Source organism: Homo sapiens, chromosome 15 (assembly GCF_000001405.40).
Source record: "Homo sapiens chromosome 15, GRCh38.p14 Primary Assembly".
In the NCBI taxonomy this organism is placed as follows: domain Eukaryota; kingdom Metazoa; phylum Chordata; class Mammalia; order Primates; family Hominidae; genus Homo; species Homo sapiens.
Window position 1 is genome coordinate 56,498,910 of NC_000015.10, and position 12,215 is coordinate 56,511,124.

At 40.3% G+C, this 12,215-nt stretch overlaps 1 long non-coding RNA gene across 2 annotated transcripts in view; it reads right to left on the minus strand.

Moving 5' to 3' along the window:
• Window positions 1-12,215, minus strand: part of LOC105370832 (uncharacterized) — a 126,090-nt gene that overhangs the window by 19,403 nt on the left and 94,472 nt on the right. Inside the window, exon 1 of one of the 2 annotated variants that reach the window (XR_007064651.1) lies at window positions 1,365-2,064. The exons of the other annotated variant lie outside the window; for it this stretch is intronic. This is a non-coding gene — a long non-coding RNA (uncharacterized LOC105370832). Of the gene's footprint in view, window positions 1-1,364; window positions 2,065-12,215 lie in introns of those variants that run through there. 2 annotated transcript variants of the gene reach the window in all.

Consider the following 12,215-nt stretch of genomic DNA (forward strand, 5'->3'; position numbering starts at 1 on the left):
GACAATAAACAAATTAAATGATATCTCATTTGCCTTTATACATTTGCATATTTAAATGTTTGGAAACTTCCCTGCTAAGGAAATTGGGCCTCATCAGACAGACTAGTAGTGGGTGAATACCTAAAAATTTCAAATGTATTAATTCTTTCTGATTATTATTAGAAATTTTCATCGACTGTTAGACTATATCAATGGCATATTGTTGAATAAATGAAGCAGATTAACACAGCAGTATGCCATTGTGAAAAAAAAGTGATATACATGTTATATATTTATTTTCCAAATACACATAATGTGGTAATACACCCACACATAAAAACCAGTATGTCAGCTTTGGGAGACCGAGGTGGGAGGGTTACTTGAGGCCAGGAGTTTAAGATCAGCCTGGACAACATAGTGAGATCCTGTCTCTACAAAAAAATAAATAAATACAAAAATTGGCTGGGCATGGTGGTGCATGCCTGTAGTCCCAGCTTACTCAGGAAGCTGAGATGGGAGGATCAATTTAGCCCAGGAGTTGAATGCAGCAGTGAGCTATTATTACCACTGTACTCCAGCCTGGGCAACAGAGCAAGAGCTCGTTGCAAACAAAGCAAAAACCAGTAAGTCACCATCCCATGAGTACAACTCAAGTCATATTAACATTTAATAGCCAAACTAGAATGGCCCTGAGTCCCTCTTCTCTTTATCTGGTTTTTTAAAAAGTTCACGTCCCAAAATATTTCTGAGAGCCTCAGGAATGCTCACATGCATTAAAAAATATTAGTCGCAGGCTCAACCACCCATTAATGTGTAGCCTTCGTTTACATTTCTGGTAAATTTTATATTAGTTCACACAAAGCATGAACTATGAAAAAAAGGGGGTTCCAATTTAAATAGCCACTTCTGCCAACCAAAGCACAGAGCTTTCTCATTTTATCTAGGCAGTAGCAGTTTGGAGGTGATAACAAAGTATTCCCTCTCTTTGTGTTTCTCAATGTCCAAGATGTCCCAAAGTAAGGTAGTTTGATGTCCTAGTGTTCCAGTTCACAAAAGGTACACACATGCACACACACACACTTGCACATTCACATATACATATACACATTGCCTTTTTCCAGTCTATATACCACCCATAGAACCTAAATTGAAAGAACTTTCTTTAACTTTCTCATCCACTGTGAAGAAGCCTTCAGCCAAGCCTCACTTGCTTCTTCCTGCACTTCCACTCTTCTCACAACGACTGTAAATAAAACACATGCCTCTATAAAGGATAAGTTCTCAGCATACTTCAAATTGGATACAGAAGGTTAAAAACAACAACAAAAACGACTCCTCCCGACTTCATCCAGCCCTATGTCCAATCTCGATTCATTGACACTCACTCAACTCTGGATCAAGATATTTTAAGTCCGAATGGCCAACTTTTGTTCAGAAAAAAAAAAAATCAAGAGGACTTCTGGTTTCAAATGTAGCATCAAAACAAGCTGGTTTCACTCCATTTCCTTGTCCCCCGGAGAAACCCAAAATCAAATATACAGTGCCAAGATTATCACCAACAAAGTTCCAGAACTCAAATATGAGGATGAGACAGTTCCCAGGGCCACAAAGAAGTGAAAAAACTATGAGAAGATGTTAAGAGAATCAGGCTTCCATATGTACAGCACCTGTTATGCTGCTCCCTGCCCCCCAGCACCAAGTACACAAAAAAATTTCTCCCTGATTCATGGTTTTTTACACTGAAAAAAAAGTCAGAGTGAGGTGAACAATCAGCTTCTCCACCATCTTGGGTTCTCAGGCAGGAGATCTATCCTTGCCTCAACTCACAGGAAGCACTGACAGTACCTGAAGGGAGACTATCCCTCAGGACAGCCAGAGACAAAGGGGGAAGTGGGACTACCATTCCCAGCCCTGGAAACTTCTTTGTAACTCAACCAAAGGAGATGCCAAGTCACAGAGGTTGTTCAGCAGCATCGTGCTGTAGGAGCTCCATTCCACAGGTCCTCTGTGCAAAAGCCAGCCTTCCCACATTACTAGGATATCCCCTTTGGGACCTCCCTTATTTTAGATGGGTGGCATTCTGAATGTTTCCTAGAACCAAAGCAAACCTAGGCTTAAGGCTCAATCTAGTACTAGGTAAGCAGCAGCAACCTAGCAGGAATAAAAATTTAAAAACAAAATCAACAAGAAAATTACAAAGACTCTATAAGCAAACATATCCAATAAAAAAGAAAAAAACAAGCCAGACAGAGAAGATGGCAATAAATAATTCTTCAATGCAAAGACATAGATATACATGCACAAGAAACAATAGCAAAATGGGAATCACAACGTCCTCAGATAGGCAAAGCAAGGAATGAGTGACTGACCCTAACAAGATGGTAATATGTGAACTCTGACCAAGAATTCAGAATAGCCATCTTAAGAAAACTGAGAAAAAAATAAAACTTAACCAAATAACATATAAAGGGGCTTCAATTCATCTGCCAACAGACTTCTCAATAGAAACCATAGAGGCCAGTAAGAAGAGGGATGACATTTTTTAAATGCTGGAATAAAAAATCTGCTATGCAAGAATATTGTATCCAGCAAAGCTATCCTTCAAATATGAAAAAGTGCTAAAGTATTCCCCAAAAGAAAGCTGAGAAAATTCACCAACACTAGATCTGTCTAACAAGAAATGATAAAAGGAGTTCTTCAATCTGGAAGAAGAAAAAAACACTAATGTGCAAAAGAAAACTATTTGAAGGTATAAAACCCACTGGTAAAATTAAGTACATGGACTAACCCAGCAGACTCTAATACTGTAATTATGATGTACAATCCACTCCTAAGTCTAGTGTAAAGTCTAAAAGACAAATCTATCAAAAACAATAATGCCTACAGCAACCTGACAAGAGATAGACAAAATAAAAATATGTAAATTGATAGAAAATAAAGTCAAAATGGTTAGGGGAGAATAAAGTATAGAGGACTTTTTTCATTATTTCTTTTTTTATATTATTTTCTTCATGATCTAAGATAAGTTGGCATCTCTTTCAAATAACTTGTGATATCTATAAGATGTTTTTTGTAAGCCTCATGGAAATCACAAAGCAAGAACCTATTATCACTTTACTAAAAATAAAAAGCAACAAATTAAAACATACTACCATAGAAAATTACTTAACGATGAAGGAAAACAGTAAGGAAGAAAGAAAAAATAGGAGTTACAAAACAACCAGAAACAAACAACAAAATGGCAGTAGTAAGTCCTTGTTTATCAATAATAACATTGAACATAAATGGACTCAGTTCTCCAATTAAAAGCCAAACAATGGTTGAATGGATAAAGAAACAAGACCCACTATATGCTGCCCACAAAAAACTCACTTCATCTATAAAGAGACACATAGACTGAAAGTAAAGGGGTAGAAAAAGATGTTCCATGCAACTGAAAACTATAAAAGAGCAGGTGTAGCTATAATATCTATCAGATGAAATAAACTACAAATCAAAGACTATAAAGAGAGACAAATAAGGTCACTATAAAATGATAAAGGGGTCAATTTAGCAAGAGGATATAACAATTATAAATATCTAGGCACTCAACACCAGAGCTCCTAGGTACATAAAGCAAGCATTAATAGATCTAAAGGGAGAGATAGACTGCAATACAATAATAGTAGGGGACTTCAACACCCTACTCTCAGTAACGAACAGATCATCTGAGAGAAAATGAACAAAGAAACATCAGTTAGGCCTAACTGACATTTTTAGAACATTTCCCCCAACTTCTGCAGAATGCACAATATTATCATCAGCATATGGAATATTTGCTAGACTAGATTATATCTTAGGGCACAAATCTTAAATTCAAAAACAAAGAAATTATAACAAGTATCTTTTCTGAACACAATGGAATAAAACTAGAAATCAATAACAAGAGGAACCTTGGAAAATATACAAACACGTGGAAATTAAACAATATGCTGCTGAACAACCACTGGGTCAATGAAGCAATTAAGAAGGAAATTTAAAAATTTCTTGAAATGAATGGAAATGGACATATAATATACAAAAATCTAGATAAGATTAAGACTAAAAATACACAATATCAGTGAAACAAAAAGTTGGTTTTTTAAAGGTCAACAAACTCAATAAACCTTTACCTAGACTACCAAAGAAAAAAAGGGAGAAGACCCAAATCAATAAAATCAGAAGTGAAGGAGATATAACTGAGATCACAGAAATACAAATAATTGGAGATTATTATGAACAACTATACACCAACAAATTTGAAACCCTAGAGGAAAGAGATAAATCCTTAGACACATACAACCACCAAGATTAAATCATGAAGAAGTAGAAACCTTTAACAAACCAATAACAAGTAATAAGATCAAAGCCATAATAAAAAGTTCTCCATTAAAGAGAAGCCCAGAATCTAATGGCTTCACTGCTGAATTCTGTCAAACATGTAAAGAAGAATTAATACCGATCTACTCAAACTCCTTAAAAAGCATGGAAGAGGAGATAACACTTCCAAACTCATTCTACAAGGCCATCATCACCTTGATACCAAAACCAGACAAACTGAGCACAGTAGCACATGCCTGTGGTCTCAACTACTTAGGAGGCTAAGGTGAGAGGATCTCTTGAGCCCAGGAGTTTGAGTGTATCCTAGGCAACATAGTGAAACGTATCTCTTAAAAAAAAAATCAATGAACTGGACAAAGTCACAACAGAAAAAGAAAACTACAGGCCAATTACACTGATGAACACAGATGCAAAAATTTTCAATGAAATACTAGCAAACTGAATTCAAGAACACGTTAAAAGATCATTAGCCATGATCAAGTGAGACTTCATCACAGAGATGAAGGATGTTTCAACATATGCAAATCAATAAACATGATATATCACATTAACAGAACCAGGAAGAAAAACCACATGATCATTTCAATAGATGCTGAAAAGCATTCAATAAAATTCTATTGTGATAAAACCCACACCAAATTGAGTATAGAAGGAACATACCTCAACATAATAAAAGCCATACATGACAAACCAACAGCTAACATTGTACTGAATGGGGAAAAACTGAAAGCTTTTCCTCTAAGATATGCAACAAGACAAGGATGCCCACTGTCAGCACTTTTATTCAACATAATACTGGAAGCCTTGGAAAGAGCATTTTGTCTAAAGAAATAAAGGACATCCAAAGTTGAAAGGAAGAAGACAAATTAGCCTTGTTAGCAAATGACATAATCTTAAACTTAGAAAAACCTAAAGACTCTACTAAGAAAACTATTAGAACTGATAAATTCTGTAAGTTTGCAGGTTACAAAATCAACATACAAAAATCAATAGTACAATTGGAAAATGAAATAAAAAAAGCAATCCCATTTATAATAGCTACAAAGAACATAAAAAACCTAGAAAGCAATTTAACCAAAGAAGTGAAAGATTTATGCAAGGGAAACTACAAAAAACTTTGATGCAAGAAATTGAAGAGGATATACAAAATATGGAATGATATTTCATGCTCATGAGGTGGTAAAATTAATATTGTTAAAATGACAATTCTATCCAAAGCAATCTATAGATTCAATGCAATTGCTATTAAATACCAATGTCATTCTTCACAGCAGAAAAAACATTCCTAAAATTTGTATGGAATCACTAAAGTTACCAAATTAGCCAAAGCAATCCTGATCAAAAGAATAAACCTGAAGCATCACACTATCTGACCTCAAACTACACTACAAACCTATGGTAACCTAATCAGTGTGGTACTGGCACAAAGACAGATACATAGACCAATGTAATAAAAAAGAGAACCCAGATGTAAATCCATGCATTCACAGCCAACCCAGTTTTGACAAAGGCACCAAGAACATACAGTGGGGTAGGGACAGTCTTTCAGTAAGTGGTGCTGAGAAAACTAGATGACCATATGTAGAAGAATGAAACTAGACCCCCTACTTCTCATCATATATAAAAATCAAATAAAGGGGGAGTGACCAAGATGGCCGACTAGAAGCAGCTAGTGTGTGGCTCTCAGGGAGAGGAATGGAAAAGGTGAGTAAATACAGCACCTTCAACTGAAACATCCAGGTATTAAAAGTAATGGCAAAAACTGCAATTACTTTTGCACCAACCTAACACATGCATTGGGATTAATTAATGAAACAAATTGAACCGTGGAGAACAGAAAAGCAAGGCAGGATGACAGCCCACCTGGGAACGACATGCAGCCAAGGGAACCTCCCTCACCCAAGGAAACAGTGAGTGAATGTGCAATCCCAGGAGCCCATGCTTCTCCAACAGGTCTTTGCAACCCCCAGGTCAGGAAATACACTTGTGAACCCACTCTGCTAGGGCCCTCAGTCTGACACATAGAGGCATGTGGGGTCTTGAGAGAACAGCCTCTCAGGCACATGCAGAGACCTGGGAGCCTTAGCTACTCCAGCTTTCTGGGCTTCCCAGCAAAAGTAGCTGCAACTCCACAAAAGTGGGAGGTTAGACCCCCACACAAATCCCTAGGAAAGAGACTGAATCTAGGGCTGAGCAGCAATGGTCTCTGGGTCCCACTTCCATAGCCCCTCACAGGATAAGACCCGCTGGCTTGGAATTCCAGCCATCCACCAGTAGCAGCATTGTGCCTCCCTGGGATAGAACTCCAAGGGACCTGGGGGAGAGGTGGGCCACCATCCTTGCTGTTTGGCCAACTTAGCTGTTTCAGCCTTCAGGCTTTGGAGTGTCCAAGATGACTAGGGGCTGAAGCAGACCCCCAGCACAGCACAGCTGCTCTACAAAGATGTGGCCAGACTACTTTTTAAAGCAGGCCCCTCATCCCGTTCATCCTCACTGGGCATCTCCAGCCACATCCTACAGATGTGTTCGGGCCGGCCACAGATCCATACCTCCCTGGGACAGAGCTCCCAGGGAGAGAGGCAGGCTTCCATTTTTGCTGTTTGTAGCCTTTACTAGTGATAACTCCAGGTACTGGAAAATCTGAGTCAACTAGGGACTGGAGCGGACCGCCAGCATACCGCAGCAGTCCTATGGAAAAGTGGTCAGTCTATTACATGGGTGCCCATTCCCATATCTCCTCACTGGGAAGGTCCTCCAGGCCTGGGCCTCCACCCACCCCCCGCAGAGCTCTCAAGCCAGTAGCAACTCGTCAACTCCCTGGACAGAGCCTCCAGGGGCAACTGAAAGTCTCTCTGCCACTGTCTCTGCAATAGAACTGTCCTGGTCACCTTTGGACTAATGAAGGAGCAAAGACCCCAAATGCCCTATCCACACCTCCAATGAACTGCAGTCAACCCAGGGAGAGGAGGCCAGTCTGTCTTTCACAGGTCCCACATACCCTCCACTGCTCATCACCACACAGGGAACCTGTGGCTTAGGCCCACAGCACAGATCCTCCATCCTGGGCTGATAGCACTGAGTGATTGCTGACTCACATCTCTCTGGAGTGGAGCCCCCAGAAGACAAGCAAAGTGGTGGGGCAGCAATCCAGCTAATGTGGAGCTCAGAGGCTTTGGTGAAGGAACGTCTGTAGCAGAGCATGGCCAGGGAAGGCCATCCCTCTAGGCTCAAGTTGATCCAGAAGAGACTTTAGCCTTAGGGGAACTGTCAGACCTGATCTCTGCAGGGCAGTTGTATTAGTCCATTTTCATGCTGCTGATAAAGACATACCCAAGACGAGGTAATTTATAAAGAAAAAGAGGTTCAATGGACTAGGGAGGCCTCACAATCATGGCGGAAGGCAAAAGGTACATCTTACATGGTGGCAGGCAAGAAAGAATGAGAACCAAGCAAAAGGGAAAACCCCTTATAAAACCATCAGACCTCATGAGACTTATTCACTACCATGAGAACAGTATGAGGGAAAACGACTCCATGATTCAATTGTCTCCCACAGCATCCCTCCCACAACACATGGGAATTATGGGAACTACAATTCAAGATGAGATTTGGGTGGGGAAACAGCCAAGCCATATCAGCGGTCTTGCACATCAGATAGGGCTGGTCCAACATGAGCACTCCTTGGGTTGCTGGACTCTCCTGGGCCCCCAGCCTGGTTACACTTACAGGGCAGTCCTGAGTGCCCTGGGGCCCCACATCATGGCTTCTGTGCAGGTGGACCATGCCTGACTGATTGGAGAGCTCCAGTGAGGCAGCCACTATGGCTGTACACCAGCCCACACATTCCCTTCTCATACTGCAGCTTCCTCTGGGCCCACAGAAACTCCCCACATCACATTGTTGGCACATGTCTACAAGGGCAGGTTTTGCTTTACTTGCTCCACCAGCACACAGGGGTGCAGTATGCCCTGCCAACCCCGCTGACCACCATTGCAGACGGATCCTTGGTGGGCACAAAGCCAGCAATCCCCTCCCCTGCCAGTGCCTTGCCCTTGCCCTAATAACTATGCAGAGAACAGGGGATCCTCCCACACCTTGAGAAATCACTCCTGCTAGCAGAGCACAGAGAAGGCACCCAGACCTGTGCTGGCTTACACCCCACCCCAATCCAACACCATCTCCAGTACAACAGTGCACACAATATCTAGCAGGGGCCCCCTGCTGTCCACCAGCTACCTTGCCTCTGCCACTGTGGTCAACATCCACAGGCAGGCAGGTACCTTTACATCTGCTAGCACTCTGCTGCAGCTGCCACACCTTGGTCCCCCAAGTACAGTAAACTCCAAATTTTGAGGAGCCAGAGAACAAAGTCAGGGCCCAATACAAGATTCCAGAGACAGAGCAGGTGGTCCAAGAGTTGGGAGCTGAGCATTGGCTGCCTAGAATCTCCCAGAAATGAAGCCAGTTGGCTGAATCCATCTTATACCACAACCAAACCCTGAAAATCATCAAATAGGATAAAAGAAAAGAAAAACCCATCTAAAGGTCAGCAACCTCAAAGACTGAAGGTAGCTAAACCCACAAAGATGAGAAAGCATCAGCATAAGAATGCTGAAAACTCAAAATGCTAGAGTGCCTTTCCTCCAAATGACCACATCACCTCCCCAACAAGGGTTCAGAACCAAGCTGAGGCTGAGATGGCTGAAATGACAGAAGTAGAATTCAGAATATGGATAGGAATGAAGTTCACTGAACTACAGGAGTACATTGTAACCCAATGCAAGGAAGTTAAAAAAATCATAAAACATTGCAGGAGCTGACAGACAAAATAGCCAGTATAAAGGATGTAACTGACCTGACAGAGCTGAAAAACACCCTATAAGAATTTCATAATGCAAACACAAATATTCATAGCAGAATAGATCAAGCAGAGGAAAGAATCTCAGAGCATGAAGACTGCCTTTCTGAAATAAGGCAGGCAGACAAGAATAGACAAAAAAGAATGAAAAGTAATGAAGAAAACCTTGGAGAAATACGGGATTATGTAAAGAGACTGAATCTATGATTGCTTGGTGTACCTGAAAGAGATAGGGAGAATGGAACCAACTTGGAAAATATATTTCAAGATATCATCCATGAGAACTTCTCCAACCTAACTAGAGAGGCCAATATTCAAATTCAGGAAATGCGGATAACTCCAGGAAGGTGCTTCACAAGAAGATCTTTTTCAAGACACATAATCATCAGATTCTTCAAGGCAAAATGAAAGAACAAATGTTAAAGGCAGCTAGAGAGAAAGGGCAGGTCACCAACGAAGGGAAGCCCATCAGACTAACAGCAGACCTCTCAGCTGAAATCCTACAAGCCAGAAGAGATTAGGGGCCAATATTCAACATTCTTAAGGAAAAGAAATTCCAACCCAGAATTTCACGTCTGGCCAAACCAAGCATCCTAAGTGAAGGAGAAATACGACTCTTCTCAGAAAAGCAAATGCTGAGGGAATTTGTTACCACCAGACATGCTTTACAAGAGCTTCCTCAGTGAGGAAGCACTAAATATGGAAAGGAAAGACTGTTACCAGCCACTACAAAAACACACTGAAGTACACAGACCAGTGACACTATAAAGCAACCACATAAACAAGTCTACAAAATAACGAACTAACATCATGATGAAAAGGTCAAATCCACACATCAATACTAACCTTAAATATAAATGGGCTAGATGTCCCAATTAAAAGACATAGAGTGGCAAGCTGGATAAAGAACCAAGACCCATTGGTATGCTGTCTTTAGGAGACCCATCTCACATGCAAAGACACAGATAGGCTAAAATATAAAGGGATGAAGAAAAATCTACCAAGTAAATGGAAAACCAAAAAACGCAGGGATTGCAAACCTAGTTTCTGACAAAACAGACTTTAAACCAACAAAGATTTAAAAAAAGACAAAGGAGGACATTACATAATGGTAATGAGTTCAATTCAACAAGAAGATCTAACTATCCTAAATATATATGCACCCAACACAGGAACACCTAGATTCATAAACCAAGTTCTTAGAAACCTTGAAGAGACTTAGAGTCTCAAATAATAATAGTGGGGGACTTTAACACCCCACTGACAATATTAGACAGAAAATTAACAAAGATATTGAGGACCTGAGCTGAGCACTCGATCAAATGGCCCTGATGTCTACAAAACTCTCCACACAAAATAACAGAATATACATTCTCCTCATTGCCACATAGCACATACTCTAAAGTTTTTTTGTTTTGTTTTTCAATTTTTTTTTATTATATTTTAAGTTTTAGGGTACATGTGCACGACATGCAGGATAGTTACATATGTATACATGTGCCATGTTGGTGTGCTGCACCCATTAACTCATCATTTAACATTAGGTATATCTCCTAATGCTATCCCTCCCCTCTACCCCCACCCCACAACAGGCCCTAGTGTGTGATGTTCCCCTTCCTGTGTCCACGTGTTGTCATTGTTCAATTCCCACCTATGAGTGAGAACATGCGGTGTTTGTTTTTTTTTGTCCCTGCGATAGTTTGCTGAGAATGATGGTTTCCAGCTTCATCCATGTCCCTACAAAGGACATGAACTCATCATTTTTTATGGCTGTATAGTATTCCATGGTGTATATGTGCCACATTTTCTTAATTCAGTCTATCATTGTTGGACATTTGGGTTGGTTCCAAGTCTTTGTTATTGTGAATAGTGCTGCAATAAACATACGTGTGCATGTGTCTTTATAGCAGCATGATTTATAATCCTTTGGGTATATACCCAGTAATGGGATGGCTGGGTCAAATGGTATTTCTAGTTCTAGATCCCTGAGAAATCACCATACTGTTTTCCACAATGGTTAAACTAGTTTACAGTCCCACCAACAGTGTAAAAGTGTTCCTATTTCTCCACATCCTCTCCAGCACCTGTTGTTTCCTGACTTTTTAATGATTGCCATTCTAACTGGTGTGAGATGGTATCTCATTGTGGTTTTGATTTGCATTTCTCTGATGGCCAGTGATGATGAGCATTTTTTCATGTGTCTTTTGGCTGCATAAATGTCTTCTTTTGAGAAGTGTCTGTTCATATCCTTTGCCCACTTGTTGATGGGGTTGTTTGTTTTTTTCTTGTAAATTTGTTTGAATTCATTGTAGATTCTGGATATTAGCCCTTTGTCAGATGAGTAGATTGCAAAAATTTTCTCCCATTCTGTAGGTTCCCTGTTCACTCTGATTGTAGTTTCTTTTGCTGTGCAGAAGCTCTTTAGTATAATTAGATCCCATTTGTCAATTTTGGCTTTTGCTGCCATTGCTTTTGGTGTTTTAGACATGAAGTCCTTGCCCATGCCTATGTCCTGAATGGTATTGCCTAGGTTTTCTTCCAGGGTTTTTATAGTTTTAGGTCTAACCTTTAAGTCTTTACTCCATCTTGAATTAGTTTTTGTATAAGGTGTAAGGAAGGGATCCAGTTTCAGCTTTCTCCATATGGCTAGCCAGTTTTCCCAGCACCATTTATTAAATAGGGAATCATTTCCCCATTTCTTGTTTTTGTCAGGTTTGTCAAAGATCAGATAGTTGTAGATATGCGGCATTATTTCTGAGGGCTTTGTTCTGTTCCATTGGTCTATATCTCTGTTTTGGTACCAGTACCATGCTGTTTTGATTACTGTAGCCTTGTAGTATAGTTTGAAGTCAGGTAGCGTGATGCCTCCAGCTTTGTTCTTTTGGCTTAGGATTGACTTGGCAATGGGGGCTCATTTTTGGTTCCACATGGACTTTAAAGTAGTTTTTCCCAATTCTGTGAAGAAAGTCATTGGTAGCTTGATGGGGATGGCATTGAATCTATAAATTACCTTGGGCAG